Below are 22278 nucleotides of genomic sequence, written 5' to 3'. Positions count from 1 at the left end.
GCTGGGCGTGGTGGTGCATGCCTGTAATTCCTGGTTCTTTGGGAGGCTAAGGCGGAAGAATCGCTTAAACCTGGGAGGCGGAGGTTGCAGTGAGCCTAGATCGCGCCACTACACTCCAGCCTGGGAGACTGAGTGAAACTCCATCTCGAAAAGAAAAAAAGATCTAAAGTACAGTAGGAAAAACTGGTGTTTCTGTGAGCAGCCATTCTGGAAAGGAAGGAGAGTTGAGGCAACAGGAATTATGAGCTCTCTGCAGCAGTTTTCTACCTGGCAGAAAACAAACTCTCAGAAAAGAAGGTGATAAGAGTCCCACTCCAGAGCTTGCACAGAGAACTGAGTTGTGGGAAGGGGTCACATGAAAGAACAAAGAGAGGCAAAAATGCAAGAAGTGATTCTATGACAAACGAAAGCACAAGATGCTAGAGTGAGTGGTAACAATTAGGAGAGCGACACGTGCAAGCGCTGAAACCAAGCACGTCAACAGACAGAGAAACCTTTGCCTCTGAATGCAAATGGAATGTAAAGACTGGCAGTGGGGAAACAGGGGCCAGATAAACTCAGTCTTCCCAGGAAGAAGGGCCTGTGAGGAGGGCCAGTGACCACTATCTCTAGAAGTTCTGGCACCTCACAGCCCATCTGGGCTGCTGCCTATGACAACTCTTGACTGGTCCTCACCAGGATGGGTCTCTTGGTGAATTTCTCTCTCCACCAGCCAGGGCTCTTCTCCCTTCTCCAACCGGAGGATCACATCTGGCTTAGTAAGCTGATAACCTGTTCACAGTGAAAGACAAAGAACAGGGTAAGAGTCAGGGGAGCTCTGAGGTAGGCACGAAGAAACATCTCAGATTCAACCTGACCACCAACCCTCTGCAGGACTGGCAGGGACTCTAAAGTTGACAGAGGCAGGAAAACTTATTTTATTTTATTTATTTATTTTGAGATGGAGTCTCTCTCTGTTGCCAGGCTGGAGTGCAGTGGCATAATCTTGGCTCACTGCAACCTCCACTTCCGGGGTTCAAGTGATTCTCCTGCCTCAGCCTCCCAAGTAGCTGGGACTATAGGAGCACGCCACCACGCCCAGCTAATTTTTGTATTTTTAGTAGAGACGGGGTTTCACCATGTTGGTCAGGATGGTCTCAATCTCTTGACCTTGTGATCTGCTCACCTCGGCCTCCCAAAGTGCTGGAATTACAGGCGTGAGCCACCATGCCCAGCCAGAAAACTCCTTAAAGAGGCATTTTTAAAACTTCAATACATTAAAACAAGTTTTCCACAAAAGCTGGAGTAAAAAAACCCTGTTCTATGCCTCAAAGAAATTAGGTCTCTGAACGCCAAGCCTATACTCTGGTGTGATACATGCTTCAGGGTCTCTGTACCTTTTGATCAATGGAGAACCAAAATCTTCAAAAACAGAGCTAGTCTTACCCAAGGAAACCAGGTTCTTATAGTTCTCCAGCATCACATTTCTGTACACGATCTGCTGAGCAGTGTCCAGCAGCTTCCACTCCTCCCTGGTGAAGTCCACAAATACATCCTTGAAGGTCACCAGTGTCTACAACATCAAACACATTTGCATTGCACCAGATATGCATCTTTGCTATCCCCCTTTCCTGATCGCTAACAGGAAGAGAAATTAAGCTGACAGCACTGGGGCAGGTAAAGTGGATGGACCACAATTTATTCTAGGAGTGAGTAGTATTTATTCTAGTCAAGTCTTAAAAGGAATGGCTATTAGGTACCTACTGTCTGAAAACAAGTTTTATGTGATGCTTTAGGTTAAAGAAAACTGTCATAAGCATTTTTATTTAAATTAAATTTTAAACAGCTATGGCAGGGGGAATCATCCATTCTCCAAAAAAGTTAACCCACTTTTATACTACGTAAATAAAGAACCTAATTCAAGTACACCTTAATGCTTAAGAGATTTACCACCCTAGCCATGTTTTATAACCTAAAATAATTATCCAAAACATTTTTCATGACTATTGGTAGGTACTAAAAAAAAAAAAAACAGAAGAGTTGGGAGATTATATTTTAGCAGTAGCAAAACAATTTGACAAAGAAACAGGAGACAGATGCAAGGCCCTTATCAGCCACATCAAAAATAAGTGTTGATTGTATCTAGAGAAAAACCTATTTGAGTGACTGAGGGTCTCTCATCAAAGACCATAAAGGTCAGAAGACAGTGGAATAATGTTTGTTTGTTTTTAAATGTTGAAAGAACAGACAAACCAGAATTTCTACGTCCAGTGAAAATATCTTTCAAAAATGATGCAAAATTAAGATATTCTCAAATGAACTAAAACTAACAGAATTTGTTGCCCGAAGTTCTGCTCTAGAAGATGTGCTGAAGGAAGTTCTTCAGGCAGAAGGGAAATGATACCAGAGAGAAACCTGAAATCTCAGAAAAGGAAGATAAATAACAAAAACAGTAGATATCTGGGTAAATATAACAGATTTGTTTTCTTCTCTGAAATTTTTCAAAAATATACAGAACAGTTGAAAGAAAGACCTGTAACATTTTCCGGTGCAGTTTTTCAACGTACACACAACTTTAACAAAAAGGGAGGAATGTAAAGGGACCCACATGTTGTAAGGCTTCTAGATTTTGCTTGAAGTAGTAAAAATTAACTCTAAGTGGACTGTAAAAGATTAGATATGTATATTCTAATCCCTACAGCAAGTATTAAAAAATACAAAAATATAAAGCTGAAAAACCAAGACATTAAGTGAAATACTAAAATATATTCAAATAATCCAAATAAAGGCAGTAAATTAAGAAGGGGGAAAAGATATACAGAGAACATATAATAAAATAACACACTTAAATCCAATTGTATTAATTAATAACATTAAACAAAAATGGTCTAAACATAACAATTAAAAAACAAGTAGCCAAACTTTATCAAGAAAAAAAAAAAGCAACCGGGTGCAGTGGCTCACACCTGTAATCCCAGCACTTTGGAAGGCTGAGGTAGGTGGATCACTTGAGTTCAGGAGTTCAAGACCAGCCTGGCAATATGGCAAAACCCTGTCTCTACAAAAAATACAAAAATTAACCAGGCGTGGTGGCATGTGCCTGTAGTCCCAGCTACTCGGGAGGCTAAGGTGAGAGGATCACTTGAACCCAGGAGCCAGATGTTACAGTGGGCTGTGATCACACCACTGTACTCTAGCCTGTGCAACAGAGTGAGAACCTGTCTAAAAAAAAAAAAAAAAAAAAAAAAGCAATAGCAAAAACCACAAGCCCTTGAGCCCTGGAGTTTCAGACCAGCCTGGACAACATAGGGAGATCCTGTGTCTACAAAAAATTTAAAAATTAGCCAGATGTGGTGGCTCATGCCTATAGTCCCAGCTACTGGGGAGACAGGTGGGAGAATCACTTGAGTCCAGGAGTTTGAGCCAGACTGCAGTGAGCTGTGATAGCACCACTGCACTCCAGCCTGGGCAACAATGAGACCCTGCCTCAAAACAAACAAACAAACAAACCACAAGCCTCAACTATCTGCTACCTAAAAGAAAACACTGGGCCGGGCACGGTGGCTCATGCCTGTAATCCCAGAACTTTGGGAGGCTGAGGCGGGCGGATCACCTGAGGTCGGGGGTTCCAGACCAGCCTGACCAACATGGAGAAACCCTGTCTCTACTAAAAATACAAAATTAGCCAGGTGTGGTGGCACATGCCTGTAATCTCAGCTACTCGGGAGGCTGAGGCAGGAGAATCGCTTGAACACAGGAGGCAGAGGTTGCAGTGAGCCAAGATATCGGCATTGCACTCCAGCCTGGGCAACGAGAGCAAAACTCCAACTCAAAAAAAAAAAAAAAAAACCAACATTGAATACAACCTAGAAACCTAGAGAGGTTAAAAGTAAAAGGACAGAAACAGATATACTATGGAAACACTAATCATACAAAAGCTAGAGTGGCTGTATTAGTATCAGACAACATAGAATTAAGAACAAAGAATATTAGCAGAGATAAAGAGGGATATTACACACTGATAAATGTGTCAATCTGCAAAAAAATTTCAAATCCTAAATAGATCAAAATGTAACATATAAATTTATAAAACTTCTGTAAGAAAACATAGGAGAAAATATTTGTCATTTTGAGTTCTTCAGAGGGTTCTTAACAATAACACCAAAAGCACAAATTGATAGGTCAGGCATGGTGGCTCACGCCTGTAATCCCAGCACTCTGGGAGGCCAAGGCAGGAGGATCATCTGAGGTCAGGAGTTCGAGACTAGCCTGGCCAACATGGTGAAATGCCGTTTCTACTAAATATACAAAAATTAGCTGGGCATGGTGATGCACACAAGTAATCCCAGCTACTTCGGAGGCTGAGGCATGAGAATCGCTTCGACGCTGGAGGCAGAGGTTGCAGTGAGCCCAGATCACACCACTGCACTCCAGCCTAGACGAGAGAATGAGACTCTGTCTCCAAAAAAATAAAAAAGAACAAATAGAAAATTGACAAAGTGAGCTTCACCAAAACTAAAAATATTTTTCCTCTTCAAAAGACATTGCTAAGAGAATGAAAAGACAAGCCAGAGACCAGGAAATAATATTTGCAAATCACATTATCTGACAAAGGACTTGTACATATAAGGTACAGAGAACCCTCAAAACTCAGTAAGAGGCTGAGCACAGTGGTTCACACCTGTAATCCCAGACTTTGGGAGGCCAAGGCAGGCCTCGGGAATGCCTCAGGATTGCCTGAGTTCAGCAGTTCGAGACCAGCCTGGGCAACACGGTGAAACCCCGTCTCTACTAAAATACAAAAAAAAAAAAAAAAAATTAGCCAGGCATGGCGTCATGCACCTGTAGTCCCAGCTACTCGGGAGGCTAAGGCAGGAGAATTGCTTGAATCCGGGAGAAGGCAAACGTTGCAGTGAGCTGATATCGTGCCACTGCACTCCAGCCTGGGCTACAGAGCAAGACTCCGTCTCCCAAAAAAAAAAAAAAAAAAAACTCAGAAAACAGACTAGTTTTCTTACTGAGCAAAAGACTAAAATAAACATTTCACCAAAGAAGAATATAGGTAGTTGGTAATAAATAAGCAAATGATGCTTAATATCATTATTTATTAGGGAAATGAAAGTTAAAATGACAGTGAGATACCTCTAAGACACTTATTAGAAAGGGTACTTTTAAAATGTGTGATACCAAGTGCTGGTGAGGATGCGGAATAACTGCCACTCCCACACATTACTGTGAGAATGCAAAAATGCTACAACCACTTTGGAAAATTTGCATATTTTTCATAAAGTTAAACGTACTCTTGGCACACACCTATCATTCTCTTGGCTAAATACCTGAGTATGAAAATTTATGTCCACACAAAAACCTGTATGCAAATGTATAAACCTGAGAAAGGGCTTTATTTATAATTGGCAAAAACTGGAAGAAACTCAAATGTCCCTCAACAGGAAATGCATAAACAAAACGTGGTACAGCCACACAGTGTAAATCTACTCAGTAATAAAAAGGAACATCCTACTGACTCATGCAACAACAGATGAACCTCCGATACATTATGCTATATGAAAGGAGCTAGAGGCTTCATACTATGAGATTCCATTTATGTGACCTTCTGGAAAAGGTAAAAATCAATAGATCAGTGGTTGCAAGGGGCTGGAGGGGGAGTTAGCATGGACTATATACACAGGGGCAGCACACAGGGAATTCTAGGATCATGGGTTTGCCCTGTATCTTGGTGTTTTGTTTTTTTTTTGAGATGGAGTTTCGCTCTTTCACCTAGGGTAGAGTGAAGTGGCACAATCTCGGCTCAGTGCAACCTCTGTTCCCTGAGTTCAAGCAATTCTCCTGCCTCAGCCTCCCAGGTACCTGAGTTTATAGGCGCCCGCCACTGTGCCCAGCTAATTTTTGTATTTTTAGTAGAGACGGGGTTCCACCATGTTGGCCAGGCTGGTCTCGAACTCCTGACCTCAAGTGATCCACCCGCCTCCGCCTCCCAAAGTGTTGGGATTACAGGCATGAGCCACAGTGCCCAGCCTGCTCTGTATCTTGAATGAAGTGGGGGCTACACAACTATATGCATCTGTCAAAAATCACAGAACTGTAAATCCAAAGTGGAAAACGTTACTGTATGTAAAAAAAAAATTTTAAATGGAATGTCCTATGAGATCTGTATGCTGGATATCTTCTCTCCTTCCCTCCAGGTTTCCTCTCCACCCTACTCTGTTCCCCAGGGAGGGTGAGCTGTGTGGATTATACCAAAGGTTTCTCTTGCCCTCTGCCTTTCTGATTTATTTCACCAATGGAGATCACCAGCTGGATATGGCAAGAAAGTTGCCCCAGTGCAGTGGTGGTGACGTAATGGAGGTACCTTGACAGATGGGAACAGCCTCTGTGAACTGCAAGTCTGGTTTCCAGAACCTGTTCTCATCCCTTCAGGCCTAATGGTGATGACACTCTGCTCCCACCTCATTCTCGTATTACTGAAGTTCAGTGTGCCTGCTACTTTCCACTAGTCCTTGACTCACTCATTGCTGCTCAGTTTCTAAGAAGCCTGCCCAGTTTTAACTTCAGTGGCTATCTGATTTCTGGCCTGGTGCTTTTAGCATTCCTATAAGTAATACATTGCACTTTTACTGTGAACACAGAGACAAAGCATATCATGGGGACACCACTGAAAGGTGCATGACATGTTAGCCAAGAACCGGATTTGAAATCAGGCGAACCTGTGGTCAAATCTGTACATCTTAAATTTTGTGTTTTTTTTGTTTTTTTCTTTTTGTGGGGGTGGGGGGGTGGGACAGAGTTTTGCTCTGACACGCGGGCTGGAGTGCAGTGGCATGATCTTGGCTCACTGCAACCTCCGCCTCCCGGGTTCAAGCAATTTTCCTGCCTCAGCCTCCGGAGTAGCTAGGACTATGCCACCACGCCTGGCTTGCTTATTTTTGTATTTTCAGTAGAGACAGGGTCTTACCATGTTGGCCGTGCTGTTCTCAAACTCCTGACCTCGGTGATCTGCGCACCTCAGCCTCCCAAAGTGCTGGGATTATAGGTATGAGCCACCGCACCTGGCCTATATACCTTAAATTTTGGATTGGATAATGCTTATTTAACTTCACCATGAGTCAGTTCTCTTAGCTGTAAAATACCGTCTGTCTCATAGTATTATACACACTAACACAACAGTACAATACCGTGTTAAAGAAGACAGAGATGAGAAGTGCCATCTGCTGCAGTCCAGCATGTACAGACATGCCAAGAAGGTATATAGCCTAAGTATGCTTTCATTCCTCCTAATACTTTTGAAATATCTTGTGTGCTTCTTGTTCTTTGCTGGAAGTAAGCATTATCCTGAATTGTGTTGTTTATTATTTTCAAAATGCCCTTACCTCATATGAATATAATTGTAAACGAATAACTGGTTGGCCGGGCGGGGTAGCTCACACCTGTAATGCAGTGCTTTGGGAGGCCGAGGCAGGCGGATCACCTGAGGTCAGGATATTGAGACTGGCTAACACAGTGAAACCCCGTCTCTACTAAAAATACAAAAATTTAGCCAGGCATAGTGGCACACGCCTGTAGTCCCAGCTACTTGGGAGGCTGAGGCAGAAGAATCACTTGAACCTGGGAGGTGGAGGTTGCAGTGAGCTGAGATCGCGCCACTGGACTCTAGCCTGGGTGACAGAGCAAGACTCCGTCTAAACAACAACAAAAAAAGAATAACTGTTTGTAAATACCTGTTTTTGAATTTTTTGGTCAGCATGAGTTGATCTTTTTCTTGTATTAGCCTCCAGTCCATTTTAAATGTAACACTAATCTCATTCCATTCTGTCATATTTTCCACTACTATTCTACTATTTTTATTTTGTATATATTTGAAAATTTCTATAATAAAAGAAGAGAGGGAAAGACCAAAGCCCACAGTGATCTGTCTTCTTCCTAACTCACCTGGAAACAAAACAAAAACCTAATTCTAGTCTGCTGGAGAAGAAGATATAATTTCTGAAGATCTTTGGCAAAGGAACTAAAGCAAAAAGGAATTCCCAGTTGGAAACTGGGAAGAAAGCCCAGCTTACCCGGGACCAGGCAGTTAGTGACTTAGCATCCATGCCCTCCTTGTTCTTGATGATACTTCCTTGAGTGACAGCAGAGTGCTGAGGAGACAAAGCTGGGAAAAAGAAAGAAACATAAGTTAAGTTTGCTATGACTGGGAGGCTCCCTAAATTGTCAGTCTAAACTTCTTCATACCAGCTGGGTATGACACAAACACCCACTATACAGAGGAACATCAGAGATATTCTATAAGCAAATCTACAGTGCCCGAAGCTCCCCAAGATTAGGAAGAGAAGAGCTACATAAATTGCATTTTTACCCCCTTAATCTCTGGAGTTCCACACCACATTTGAAGATTTAAAACTGAATGATCCTACCTACCATTACAAATTTTTTTTTTGCGGAAAAAAATACCAAACCTGACCTAATCAAATAGTCTCACTTTACAGATTAAAAAAACAAGTGTTGTCTCCAGCTGGTCACAGAACGGAAGTCAGAGATAGAAGCCCAAGAAAAATGTGACGCACCATTACTGGCTTGAAGATGGAATGCAGTGTGAGGAACATGGCAGGCTCCAGCAGCAAAGAGCAGCACCAGCTGAAAGCCAGCTAGGAAGCAGGGACCTCAGTCCTGCAGCCACAAGGAACTGAATTCTGCCAAGAAGAGTGAGCTTGAAAGTGAATTTTTCCCCACGGCCTCCAGATGAGAACTCAGTCCAGGTGACACCCTGATTTCAGCCTTTAGACATCCTGAGCAGAAAACCCAGCCATGCTGTGCTTGCACCGCTTCTGACCAACAGAGCTGATAAGGAAATGCTGTTTGAAGCTGCCAAGTTTGTGGTATATGCTACAAGCAACAGAAAACTAATATAGCCAATTACATTTTAAAGATAATTTAAATATTAAGGAAAAATATTATATATTTACCTAGGTAGTTACCATTCGCCAGTGCTGTTTACTCGTTTGTGTAGATCCAGATTTCCATTTGGTTTCATTTCCTTTCTCTCTGAAGCACATTCTTTAATGTTTCCTGTAACGGAGGTCTCCTAGTGATAAATTCTTTCAGCTTTCTTATAGCTAACAATGTCTTTTTTGTGCCTTTGGCTTTTTTTTAAAGAGCCATATGGTACAATTCAACCATTTAAACTGTGTATTCAGTGGGTTTTGGTATATTATATAATTTTTTAAATTGCAGTAAAATAATTTTTTTTTTTTGCCATTTTAACTGTTTTTAAGTATCCAATTCAGTGGCATTAAGTACATTCACAGTGTGGTACAACCATCACCACTATGTAATTCCAAAACTTTTCCATCGCTCCAAACAGAATCTCTGGTACCCACTCAGTGGTAACTCCATATTCTCCCCTATTCCCTGGAAGCCCCTAATCTACGTTCTGTCTCTATGAATTTGCCTGTTCTACTTAGGTCATGTAAGTGGAATCATACAATATTTGCCCTTTCGAGTCTGGCTTATTTCACTCAGTATACATTTTTCAAGGTTCATCTATGTTTTAACATGTATCAGAACCTCACTCTTTTCATGACCAAATATTCCACTGTGTAGAGACTACATTTTGTTACCCACTCATCTGTTGATGAACACTTGCATTGTTTCCATCTTTTGGTTATTATGAATAACACTGCCATGAGCACTGGCATACAAGTATCTGTTTGAGTTCCTACATTCGATTCCCTTGGATATACACCTAGGACTGAAACAGCTGGGTCATATGGTTTTATGTTTAGCTTTTTGAGGAACCAACAAATTGTTTTCCATAGTGGCTGCATCATTTTTACATTCACACCAGGAATATATATGCATATTCTAATTTCTCTACATCCTTGCCAAATACTTGTTATTCTATTTTTTTTTAATTACAGCCATCCTAGTAAGGATGAAGTGACATCTCATTGTAGTTTTTACATTTCCCTAACGAGTGATGATGTTGAGCATATTTTCATGTGCTTACTAGCCATGTGTATATCTTCTTTACAGGAATGTCAAGTCCTTTACCCATGTTTACAATTGGGCTGTGTGTATTGTTGAGTTGTAGGAGTTCTTTGTATATTCTAGATATTAAACCCTTAACAGATACATGATTTGCAAATAGTTTCTCCCACTTTTTTTTTTTTTTTTTTGGAGACGGAGTCTCACTCTGTCACCCAGGTTGGAGTGCAGTGGCAAGATCTCAGTTCACTGCAACCTCCACCTCCCAGGTTCAAGCAATTCTTGTGCCTCAGCCTGTAGCTGGGACTACAGGCATGCAAAGCTAATTTTTTGTATTTTTTAGTAGAGACGGGGTTTCACCATGTTGGTCAGGCTGGTCTCGAACTCCTGACCTCAGGTGATCTGCCCGCCTCGGCCTCCCAAAGTGCTGGGATTACAGGCGTGAGCCACCGCGCCCGGCCTGTTTCTTCCATTCTATAGGTTGAGTTACCTTTGTTGTTGAAAGATGTTTTTTCCTGAATGTGTAATTCTATTTAATAGGTAGACAGTTATTTTTTTCTTTCAGTACTTTGTAGATATAGTTCCACTCTTCTTAGATGTCTTATTTCTGGTAAGAAATCCAATGTAATCCCTTATTCCTCTGTATATAGCATGTATTTTCCTTCTGGCTGCTTTTGAGATTTTCTCTTTTATTGATTTGAGTAATCTGATTATTATTTTCCTTGGTATACTTTTCATGTTGCTGGAGTTTAGGGTTCCTTGAGCTTCTTGAACTTGCGGGTTTATAGTTTCATTAAGTTTTGACATTTCCAGCCATTATTTCTTCATATATTTCTCCATCTCTCCTTTACTCTCTTCTTCAGGGACTCCAATTACTCATACGGTAGGCTACCTGATGCTATCCACAGCTTACTCAAGTTCTTTTCATTTTTTTTCTGGTTTCTTTTTTCTCTCTGCATTTCATTTTGGATAGTTTTACTGCTATGCCTTCAAGTTCACCCAACTTTTCTTCTGGAAATCTAATCTTCTGTTAACCTGGTATATTTTCATTTCAGGCAATATAGGTTTTCTCCCTAGAATCTCAATTTTTTTTAATACTTTCTATTGCTGTACTTACCTTCTTAGCAATACGAAATACAGTTATAACTAATGTTTTACTATCCTCCTCTGCTAATAATAATATCTATGTTAAGTTTGGATGAGTTTCAAATCATTATTACCGTCCTCACTATGGGCCATGTTTTCATCTCTTTGCATGCTTGGTGAATTTGATTGGATGCCAGATACTGTGAATGTTATTGTATTGGATGCTGGATATTTTTATAGTACTATAAATTTCCTTAAGCTTTGTTTTAGGATGGTTAGGTTATTTGCAAACAGTTTGATCCTTTTGGGTCTTTCTTTTACAATTTGCTAGACAGATTTAGCAGTGCCTAGTATAGGGCTAATTATCCCCCATTACTGAAGCAAGACCTTCTTGATAGATACTGATTGGGTAGACACGACCTATCCAATGCTCCAGGAATTGGAAGAGTTTTCCAGTCTGGCTGGTGGGAATAGATATACTCTTCTCAGCCCTATGTGAACAACAGATACTGTTCCCAATAATCCTTTAGAGGACTCTTTCCCTGGCTCAAGTAGTTTCCTCACACGTATGTACTAATCTGTGCTCTGCTGAATACTTGAGGGAGAACCTTTGCAGATCTCCAGAATTCTCCTGCTGTAAGATGCTCTCTTACAGAAGCCATATTGCTTTTACTTATGGGACCATGCATAAAACTGAAAAGGAAACCCTTAAATCTTCAGAAGACAGAGCAAACAATATACAGGAACAAAGTACAAAAGAAATGCAAATGTAAACATATAGGAAATAGTCAAATTTAGTATTCAAAAAATGGAAATTAAAAAAATCTAAATTTAAAATAAATTTAAAATGCAATGTTTATAAACTTCTGCTTCCAGCCGAGATGGAATACGAGAGAATAGAATTAACCTCTTGCCCCAACAACAACAAAACAGACAAAATACATTAAACAGTGGTTTTCAAGACCAAGAGAGATAAAATAGTATTGACCTCATAGGGTTATTGTGGGAATTAAATGAGTTAGTATTTGTAAAACATAGAATGGTGCCTGACACGTGGTAAGACTTATTTAAAAAAAAAAAAAAAAAAGACGTCTAGTGACCCAGTAACACAAGTGTCTTTCTTTTCTTTTTTTTCCAAAGTCGAGGCCTCATTCTTGTCACCTAGGCCGGAGTGCGGTGGCATGATCATAGCTTACCGTGGCCTCAAACTCTTGGGCTCAAGTGATCCTCCCTCCTCAGCCTCCCAAGTAGATAGAACTACAGGTGTGAGCCACTGCACCTGGCTTTTTTTTTTTTTTTTTTTTTTTTTTTTTGAGACAGGGTCTTACTCTGTCATCCAGGCTGGAGTACAGTGGCACGAACACAGCTCACTGCAGTCTTGACCTCCTGGGCTCAAGTGATCCTCCCGCCTCAGCCTCCTGAGTATCTGGGACCAAAGGCACATACCATCACACTCAGCTAATCTTTAAATTTTTGTAGAGACAGGGTCTCACTATGTTGCCCAGGCTGGTTTCAAAGTCTTGGGCTCAAGTAATCCTCCTGCTTTGGCCTCTCAAAGTACTGGGATTACAGGTGTGGGTCACCATGCCCAGCCTGGCTAATTAAAAAAATTTTTTTTGCAGCGATAGGGGTCTCATTATGTTGCCCAGGCTAGTCTAGAACTCCTAGCCTCAAGCAGTCCTCATGCCTTGGCCTCCTAAAGTGCTGGGCCTCTCAAAGTGCTCAAATGACAGATGTAAGCCACTGCGCCCAACCAGCAAGTGTCTTTCTAGAGTTTCTTTTTAACATCCAATCAGTCACCACAACCTATAAATTCCCCCTCTTAAATGTCTTCCACCAACTCCTACTGCTGTGGCCCTGATTCAGGGCCTCATAATTCTTCACCTAGAGACCTCCTACTTGACTTCTTTGCCTTTGGTCTCTCTCACTCCAATGAGTGTTTGCAGCAACATCATCTCTGTAAAACACAAAAGTTTCACTCCCTGTTTAAAATTCCCTTTTGGTCTCCCAGTACGTATAGAAAAATGGACTAAGTCCTTGGCATAGATTTAGGATCCTCTGTGATTGTGGCTTTTCTACCTCCCTATGCCCTAAATGTTTTATCAAACTACCATACATTTCCCTATAACTATGGTGAACCACTTGAGTTGCCTGAACATCTTTATCTATGCTATTCCTAAGCCAGATATGTTCTTCCTTTTCTTGTCTCTTGGTAAAACCTTACCCATGTTGCAAGATCAAACATTATCCATTCTTATGTCATTACCTAATTTCTCCAGGAAGTTTTAGTGTTTCTTACTCTTTGCTCCCACAGCCACTGAAAGAAGAAGCAACAATGACTGAATTAAAGTACAGCAAGAGAGATCCACAATTAGCTGACCAAAGGGTCATGTCCTTATGGAGAGAAGTTTCTGACATCAGGTACAGGTCTCTGTCCTTACCCTGTTTTTAATCCTTTCACCAGCAATATAAGTAAAGATCAGTTACAAATTTTAGCTGACAATAAAGGCAATGCCATACTATTTCAGGAAATTAAGATATACAAGTGGATGCTATATGTACTTTGTATGGATGTTATCACAGGAGTACAAGGTTCCTTTTAAGGAGTCAGAATGCCAGAGTTAGCAGGATAAAGAGGTGTACGAACCCAGACGGTTCCTTTATTCATCCCTTTTTACACCAGACATTAACTGAATACTTACAATATGCCAAGTACTATCCTAGGGGCTAAGAACAGAGTAGTAGCCATTCAGACATGGGTCCTTCCCTCATAGAGCTTGCTTTTCAAGATAAGCAAAGGCTGAAGTAACTGGAAATACTCAGCCTGAAAAAAATTACTTACAGGAAGCAAGAAAATAGTTTTCACACATTTGCACATCCTATCCTCGGAATAATATTTATTCTGAGTTGTTGCACAGGGAAGGATTAGGACATATGTGTGGAGTTACAAAGAAGTCAATTACAAGTCAATATAATGAGATACTGTTAATCAAATGACATATCTGGAAATAGTACTGGCATCCCAGGGAGGTTATTGTGGCCTCAAACTCCTGGGCTCAAGTGATCCTCCCAAGCAGCTAGAACTACAGGTATGAGCCACTGTACTTGGCTAATTTTTTTTTTTTTTTAGACAGGGTCTCAAAATTTCTGGTCACTAATAAATTTTCAATAGGATCTCATTAAAAAAAAAACAAAACTACAGTAAGGCTTCTGGTTTAGACAGACACATAAGGTCCATTCTAATAACTACCATAATTATAAACAGTTTGGGTTAGGTCTCACTCAATTCTAATTTCCCTTAGCAACTACTACTAGATAACTCACTCAAACCTTTATCTAACCCAGCGGTTTTAAACTCTGGCTGCACGCTGGAATTGCTAAGTATGTTTGGCATTTATTGATACCTGGGTCCCATACCAAGAGATTCTGATTTAATTATCTGAGAAGGGATTAAGGATTTTTTTTTTTTAAGAGCTCCACCTGGTACAAATGAATGTATAGCTAAGGTTGAGAAACACAGATGTAAACCATTATTTATTTAATTCCAGGTTTCTACCATTCTTGAGGTAATCAGATCCATCACAAAGGATCCTTTTATGTGACTGGCCAAAACTGACTTCTCTAAAGTATCAGTCATTCTCAGAGCAGGGATACTGGGAGAAGTTTTGTTTGTTTTTGAGGAAACAGCTGGTAAGTTAATAACTATCTTAGTGGTATAGATTTGGAACTTCTGCCATTTTAATAAATCTCTACCGAACACTTATATTCCTAGCTCTGTACCAGGCCTTGAAGATAGAAATGTGAACAAGGCATTTAATCCCTTACCTCAAGCAGCTGAGGCTACTGGAAGAAACTGAAAACACACATTTACAGTAGAGTTTGATTACTGCTATAATAACAGCAATGGACAAGGGCTCACAGGAGCATAGAAGGTGGTTTCTAACACAGCCTAATGGTTTCAGGGAGGAATGGGCTGAGTGTCAGAGCTGGTTTGGTAGGTAAGGGAGGTTGGGGAACATCGTGAGCAAAGGCAATGCCTAAGAAGATTATGTGTAAGGGGAAGAATTTCAATACTTCTAGTGCATATAGTTTAGGCCAGAGAACAAAAAGAAACAGGGCCAGAGGTGTGCAAAGCCAGATCTAGGTCACAGCCAGCCAAGAATGCCATTCTCAGAAATGTGGACTCTTTCCTAAATGTTGTAAGCCAGGAAACAATATTAGTGTCTTCAAAGTGCTCTTCTAGGGGTAGCTGTGTAATGGACTAGAGGAAGATATAATAGTAGCCCCAAAAAAAACCAGGTAGTAGGCTAATACTTTAATCCAGAAGATTTGGGAACACAAATTAGGGCCATGATGGTAGAAATGGAGAGCAGGTAGATTTGGGTAGGATCAGTATGTCCTGGAATTTGACTGAATGTGGGTGTGAGAAAGGGCTAGCAGCTTCACATGACTCTCAGGCTTCTGTGTGACTAAATGGAGAACAATATCAGAAGGGTTACGTACTAGAGAAATGATGCGATTGGTTTTGAACATAGTGAGTAGGCCACATGAACACAGTGAGTAAGCCACAGAGAAGTGGCATCTAGGAGGCTGTATTTAAATGTGAGGGTTATCCAGATGTACATCATCTGCCTTCCATATCTGTATTCTATCTGAATCCACTCAAGCTGCCTGGCTATATACTCAAACAGGACAAGCTTTTCGGGAGGAGGATGGTCTTTTGTCACATATTTAAGAGTAACTATATTCTCCTGCTATAAGATATAGGTGAAGTAAACACATGAATAAAGGAGTCTAAGGGGGATCATATGTTCCTATCAACAACCCTGTGACATATTTCATATAAAGCTTACTAAGAAACAGTAATATTCAGTAGTGCCACGTAATGGCATTATCAGATGAAACCTTGGCATAAAACCAACCAGAGAACTTGAAGAGTAAAATAAACGGTAGGACCAGGATTATAGAGAAAAATCAACGTTTAGGAAGCAAATAAAAGAGAAGCCCAAAAAGGAGGCAGAGAACCTCCAGATAAAGAGAACTAAGATATGTAAATTTCAAGGATGGGTAGATCAAAATAGAGTTAGATAAATTAAGGATTGAAAGGTATTGGATTGGTTAGATAAGCCTTCACTAATAATTTGAGGAGATCAGTTTCAATACACTAGTGGAAACAGCAGACAAATTCCACAATAGGAATGAAAAGTTTGGAAGTGGAGAAGGAAGAGAAAGGGCAGGTAGAAGAGGTGGTGGGGTCAGAGTGGAGACTAAAAACAGAGGAAGCAATTAATAGACAAGGGAGTTGGAACTAGAGGAGAGAGAAGGGGGGAAGGATGGGGTCAAATCTCTGATGAAGGCATCAGGCTTCTAAAGGAAGAAGGATGCTTCATTCTCTCCTACCTCCTGGAAGTCAGGATAGGTGGGATGTTGACAATTAGCAGGCAGTTCAATAGAAATGTGAGTCAAAAAAGAAAGCAAGGCTATTTGCTAACAATGAGAGGAACAACAGATGGCCATGATCATTGAGGACAGTGATAAAGGTTTGGGCCATGCAGTGACAAACTAGCAAAAGCTGCTGACAAAAGATAAGCTGAGGTTACGGAGAGTATGTCTGTCATACTTGTCTGCCTAGCTGTGATTTCCTCAAGCAGCACTCGCTGCCTGAACAGAAGAAAAGGCAAACTGTGCAGTGTTCTGGGCTGGGATTTCTATGTGTGCAGGTAATGCAGAGCAAGAGAAGTAAGAATGCCTCATGTGAGAAATGTGTGCAATCAACAACAGGATCTAGTTTTGGTATAGACATGAGTCAAGGAAGGAGCTGACAGATTTGAGGAGAACCTCCAAGAAGAGTCGTGAGAATAAGGACATAAAAAGAGCCAGGAGAACAAGGGGTAAGAGTCAGAAAGAGGGATACCGAAGTTTGCAGAGGCTGTGCTGTTTGGGTCATGAGTGGAAGTCTGAGACACACAGGAGTGATGACATGAGCAGAGTGAAGTGAAGAGCCTCCAGAGATGAGAAGGCAAGGTAGGCTCAGCTCATATAACGAAGTCCTGGAACACTGCGATGCCACAGAGGAAAGCTGTTTCAAATCCTCTGCCTGATGATGTCCAGCATTATTTATTTCCTGTTTTGGCTGCAGCAGCATAATGGATCTTGGTATTCAGGGAGCATTGAGTGCCCTTTCCCCAGCTCACAGTGCAGAGTTTGGAGCCCAACTTACTATTTGGTCACTGCTGTGTAAGAACAAAAGATGAGAGGTAGTCTGGATGCTCTGAGATCCAATAATCTTCCCAGTAAGACAAGGCAGACCCATGAAAGGCAAAAGACAATTCTATATGCGCACACTAAGATCAAAAGGCATTTCAGGTAGCTATCAAGAGTGACTGAGCGTCCCCTACCTGAGAAGCTCTTTTTAAGATGTTAGGAACACAACTATGAGAATAATTTCCCTCCCTCAAGCAGATTGTAACCATGGAAGGATGTTAAAAGTCTAGTACCACAGACATGAAGAGAATGGAGAAAGGAAATGTGGCTGGGGAAATCTGCAAAACTTCCTGGGGAAGGAAAAACTGGAACAACGATGAGAAAAGGTCCAATGTTAGGAGTTAGAAAGCACAGCAACAGCCATTCCACAATGTGAGCTTTACATTTGCAAAGAGATTTTTCTTCCCACCTCCAAATGGTAAAATCTCCTAGAAGACTATATAATTCTATTTGTGAACATAAATGTTACAATAAAGTCTATATTTTCTACCAGAGTGGTCACAAAAAATATTTATAATCACTCCATTTTTCTTCTGAGGCAAAGTCAAAACATAGTGCCAGAGAAAGGGAGACTATTTTTATTTTGGTAAACTCTTAAGGACAGAGGGCTATATTAGTTTTCCATTGCTGCCAATTATCAAAACTTTGTGGTTTTCAACAACACACATTTGTTACATAACAATTCTGGAGGTCAGAAGTCTGATACAGGTTTCGGAGGGCTAAAATTAAGGTGTTGGCAGAGCTGTGTTCCTTCTGGAGGCTCTAGAGAAGAATCTATTTCCTTGCCCCCGTCCAGTGTCTAGGACCATCTACACTCCTTGGCTCCTGACCCTTCCTCCACCTGCAAGGCCAGCAATGATACATTTCTCTGTGCCTTTCTTTCATGGTTATATTTCCCTGATTGCTAACCTTCTTATCCCCCTTTTACTTTTTTTTTTTGAGAGGGAGTCTTGCTCTGTTGCCCAGGCTGGAGTGCAGTGAAGCAATCTCGGCTCATTGCAACCGCCGCCTCTTGGGTTCAAGTGATTCTCCTGCCACAGCCTCCCATATAGCTGGGATTACAGGCGCCCACCACCACACTCAGCTAATTTTTTTTTTTTTTTTTTTGTATTTTTAGTAGCGACAGGGTTTCACCAAGTTGGCCAGGCTGGTCTCGAACTCCTGACCTCAGGTGATCTCCCCACCTTGGCCTCCCAAAGTGCTGGGATTACAGGCGTGAGCCACCGTGCCCGGCCACCCAGCTCTTTTACTTTTAAGGACCCCTGTTATTACACTAAGCCCACTGAAATAATCCAGGATAATCTCTCCCCATCTTGAGATCCTTCATTGAATCACAACTGCAAATTTTATTTTGCAGTATAAGGTAAAATATTCCCAGGTGCTGGGGATATCTCTGGGGAGCCATTATTTTGGCTGCCACAAGGGCAGAGATGGGCTGAAAAGAAGCTCCAAGTATCGGCAAGAAGGCTATGAAAGTTACTATTTGAGGCACACGCAGTTCCAAAGCACAGCTCCAATCAAACACTTAGCGTACAAGTTTCACAACAACGTTCTGGACCCTTTTCAACTTAACTCCCACTACACTTGCCCCATATTCTCTAAGGATCACTTTAATGCCATCTATGCTGTGACGCCTTCCCACTATCTCAGAGAGGATCAGTGGTTCTATCATCCGTAAACATGAAGGACTCTGCCCATGCCCTATTCCAGCACTTCAACGCTGCCTTACGGTACCAAGATTTGTCTGTCTCCCTTATGAGATAGTGAACCACTTAAGAATTAGGACAATCTCATTCTAAATCCTGGGAAGAGGCTAGCAAAGTGCTTAGCACTTCATATTCATTCACTCTGACATGTGACTATACTTAACCAGCACTCACATTGACAGGTACAACCTCGTCAGGAACCGCATTTCACTTGGGGACATGGAGTACATGTTCATTAATAAAGAGAACAGGGTCTCTTCAAGTTCTGAATAGGTTTACCAGTATTTGCTTCAGCAAAGGGCAAGGTATGATCAGCAAAAAGGACCCAGCAGCCACAAAGTTAAAACTCGGTAACCAATAGACATGGCAAAGATATACTTAAAGATACAAAAGGCAAAGATCCTGCATCTGTCAAAACTCAGCAAATGTACACTTAAGATTTGCGCTTTTCATGTTATGTAAATTTTACATCTAAAGAAAAATCTAAACAAATATAGAATTCTAATTAATAATACATACGTATTCTGAAATTTTTAAGGAATACGTACCCATGTCAATTTACTTTGAAAAAAATTTAAAAATACAATGAACTGATGGATAAAAAGAGGGACAGATGGGTATGTGTTAAAATTAGGTACAGTAAAATATTAATGGTAGAGTCTAGATGGGAAGGTTTATAAGTATTCACTGTAAACTTCTTTTAATTTAGCTGTATGCTCAAAATTCTTCATAATAAAATTTTGAACAGGAAATGTTAGGATCAGTCAGCAAGGAGATATTGTGTGGAAAGAGGAAAAAATAATGCTCTTGGATGTTCATTACGAGTCAAAGAGGCACATACACAGACAAAGGTGGCCTATATCATATCTTGTCCCAACCTTGCTTCATAGCCAGAAGAATTAAAAGCCCTGGCTGACATGAGACATGCTAGAAAGAGTACTGCTGATGAAAGTAAAAGAGTCTCTTGTAGGCACAACAGAGATATTAACAATAAGAAATTTCTTTTTCCTTAAAATACTTTTTTTTTGAGACGGAGTTTCGCTCTTGTTGCTCTTGTTAATTTAAGATGTGTATCTCAAATCTCTGCCCTTGTGACTGGCATATGTTAATTAGCTGGGCATGGTGGCTGGCGCCTGTAATCCCAGCTACTAGGGAGGTTGAGGCAGGAGAATTGCTTGAACCCAGGAGGCAGAGGTTGCAGTGAGCCAAGATCGAGCCATTGCACTCCAGCATGGGCAACAAGAACAAAACTCTATCTCAAAAAAAAAAAAAAAAATTCTCAGATTTTCTTGACAATTGAATATAATCTATAAACAGAACTGTTTTTATTCTTACTCATCCTTTATTCTTCTAGTAAGAATTGCCTAGTAAGGTTTTGAAGTTTTTCTCATATAGTTCACATATATTTCTAGCTAAAATTATTTTCTTCCTATTGTGAAGACTTTTTAAAAATAAAAGTATGTGCTAACTTGTTGAGGACGGCAATCAATCTATTAGCTTATATATTTCCTTTTCAGTCACTTTACTACAAATTATTGATAGTAATTGAATCTCTTCTCATTTTGGGGACTTAATTAGTTAATTAATTAACAAGGATAATTTTGTAATCTCTTTTCCAGAAGGTAAGCCTCATATCTACTTAAATATTGTCCTAAGTAGAATTTCCAGACAGTGCTTATATAAAATACTGATAAGCAGAAATTCTCATTTAATTTATGATGTGTATCTCAAATCTCTGCCCTTGTGACTAGCATATACTAAGAGCTAAAGAAATGCATGCTGAGAGAAGTAATCAAAAAACAAATGTAACTTTCAAAAAGAGGCAGGAGCGTGTGCAACTTACCATCCAAGAGGCTTTGGAAGATGGGGGACAATTTTAGTAAAACAGAAGAGATTAGTTATGTCACAAGAGAAAAGTTAGTGTGGAGGTAATTTTCAAAAGGGTAGGGAGGATTTGTGCTATCCAGTTCTCGGAGACCTAACTGCAGTCATTTCTAACCTAATAACACTTGTTGGCTGGCATTCTGGGTGACATCCTGCCTTCCCTTTTACTTTTTTTTTTTTAATTAACAGTATCTTTCTGCAATTAATGTATAGCTGGAATTGAAATTGTTCACCTTCTGCATACACTTTGGGTGGGATCTACGTACGAAATCTTGATGTTAACCTTATCTTTGACACTCATATTATGTGTTAGATGGCGTATATATATCTAGTGTCAAGGGAAAATAAAAATATAGTAATTAAACTTATGATCTGTCTCTGAAAATAAAAAAAATAGATTAACCACACAAACACGCCTTCAGTTAATCTATCTGATTAAAAAACAAAACAAAGATGAGGAAGCTAAGAGCTAGAGATGCAGGATTTGTTTTTAAAAGACCACACACGAATCGGCGTCACTATTTCAACAAATACTAGAAAGGCCATATGCAAAATTTTAAACATCTATCCCAGCTGGGGGGAAAAATGGAAGTTAGACTAGAAGAAACCTTATTTTGTATTACTGAAAATATCTGGTTCAAACTTACCACCACCGCCGCCCACTCTGCGTCAATCTCCAGGTGCAGCCGTTATTCTCCACAGAACAAGAACGTCCGCCGTGAACGCCGGGGCCGCGCGAGGGACAGAAAGTGACTGAGGCAAGGGGTGACGATCACCGTTAAATTTTTTCATTGACGAAATTACCGTCTACCTAGAAATACGAAGCTAATACACTGCTACATTACTAAAGGGCTCAACACGCGCCTGATGACGATGCAAACACAAAATTCAGCACTTTCGTATATACCTGCAATAAGCAACTAGAAGGTTCGATGGGAGAAAGCGATCCCGTCACAAAGGCAGCAGCAACAGCAAAACAGAGAACGCGACTCCATTCACCAGCGGAGCGCGAAGAGCGGCGTCAGAGGTGAGTCTGAGGCCGGCTCGGCACGGCGGCGCCACCTCCCCGTGGCCTGACGTCACGCACGCGCACGCGCCCCGCCCCCATTGGTCCTACGCCCGCCCCTGCTGCGAACGCACGCACACGCACCCACAACACACACCGTTACGCACGCGCCCCAGCCTGGCGTTCAGGCCACGCTCCGCCCCCAGCCCGTCAGCCGCGCGCCCCGGGACCCTAGAGCCGGCGATTCGTCGCCGGCGCCGCAGCCGCCACTCTGTGCCGGACCCTGCGGGCCTTCGGCCCAGAGCGCGTCCGTGACGCACAGACCAGGCCCCTCTGCGGGGCGGCGCAGGAGCT

At 41.2% G+C, this 22278-nt stretch overlaps 1 protein-coding gene across 1 annotated transcript in view, besides 3 other annotated features; it reads right to left on the bottom strand.

Annotated features, from left to right (window-relative positions):
* ZNF10 (zinc finger protein 10) overlaps positions 1-21953 on the bottom strand; it is a 28839-nt gene extending 6886 nt beyond the window's left edge. Inside the window, exons 1-4 of the mRNA NM_015394.5 lie at positions 21826-21953; positions 8055-8146; positions 1426-1552; positions 676-771 (exon numbers count right to left, since the gene is read on the bottom strand). Coding sequence (NP_056209.2) covers positions 676-771; positions 1426-1552; positions 8055-8087 — 256 coding nt within the window. The 5' untranslated portion in view covers positions 8088-8146; positions 21826-21953. The remainder of the gene's footprint in view (positions 1-675; positions 772-1425; positions 1553-8054; positions 8147-21825) is intronic.
* Positions 20319-20488: an enhancer, noted in NCBI's record as "experimental_26228 CRE fragment used in MPRA reporter constructs". NCBI's record gives its function as "activates a minimal promoter by MPRAs in K562 erythroleukemia cells, with activity observed for the non-introgressed 12:133708763 variant allele {active_cell/tissue: K562}" and the evidence as "EXISTENCE:reporter gene assay evidence [ECO:0000049][PMID:34662402]".
* Positions 21571-21850: an enhancer, noted in NCBI's record as "active region_7400". NCBI's record gives its function as "activates an Ori minimal core promoter by ATAC-STARR-seq in GM12878 lymphoblastoid cells {active_cell/tissue: GM12878}" and the evidence as "EXISTENCE:reporter gene assay evidence [ECO:0000049][PMID:35858748]".
* Positions 21901-22140: a silencer, noted in NCBI's record as "silent region_5136". NCBI's record gives its function as "represses an Ori minimal core promoter by ATAC-STARR-seq in GM12878 lymphoblastoid cells {active_cell/tissue: GM12878}" and the evidence as "EXISTENCE:reporter gene assay evidence [ECO:0000049][PMID:35858748]".

This window comes from Homo sapiens, chromosome 12 (assembly GCF_000001405.40).
Source record: "Homo sapiens chromosome 12, GRCh38.p14 Primary Assembly".
NCBI lineage: Eukaryota > Metazoa > Chordata > Mammalia > Primates > Hominidae > Homo > Homo sapiens.
Note: the sequence above shows the minus strand (reverse complement) of the source record. Positions and strands in the feature narration are given on the sequence as shown.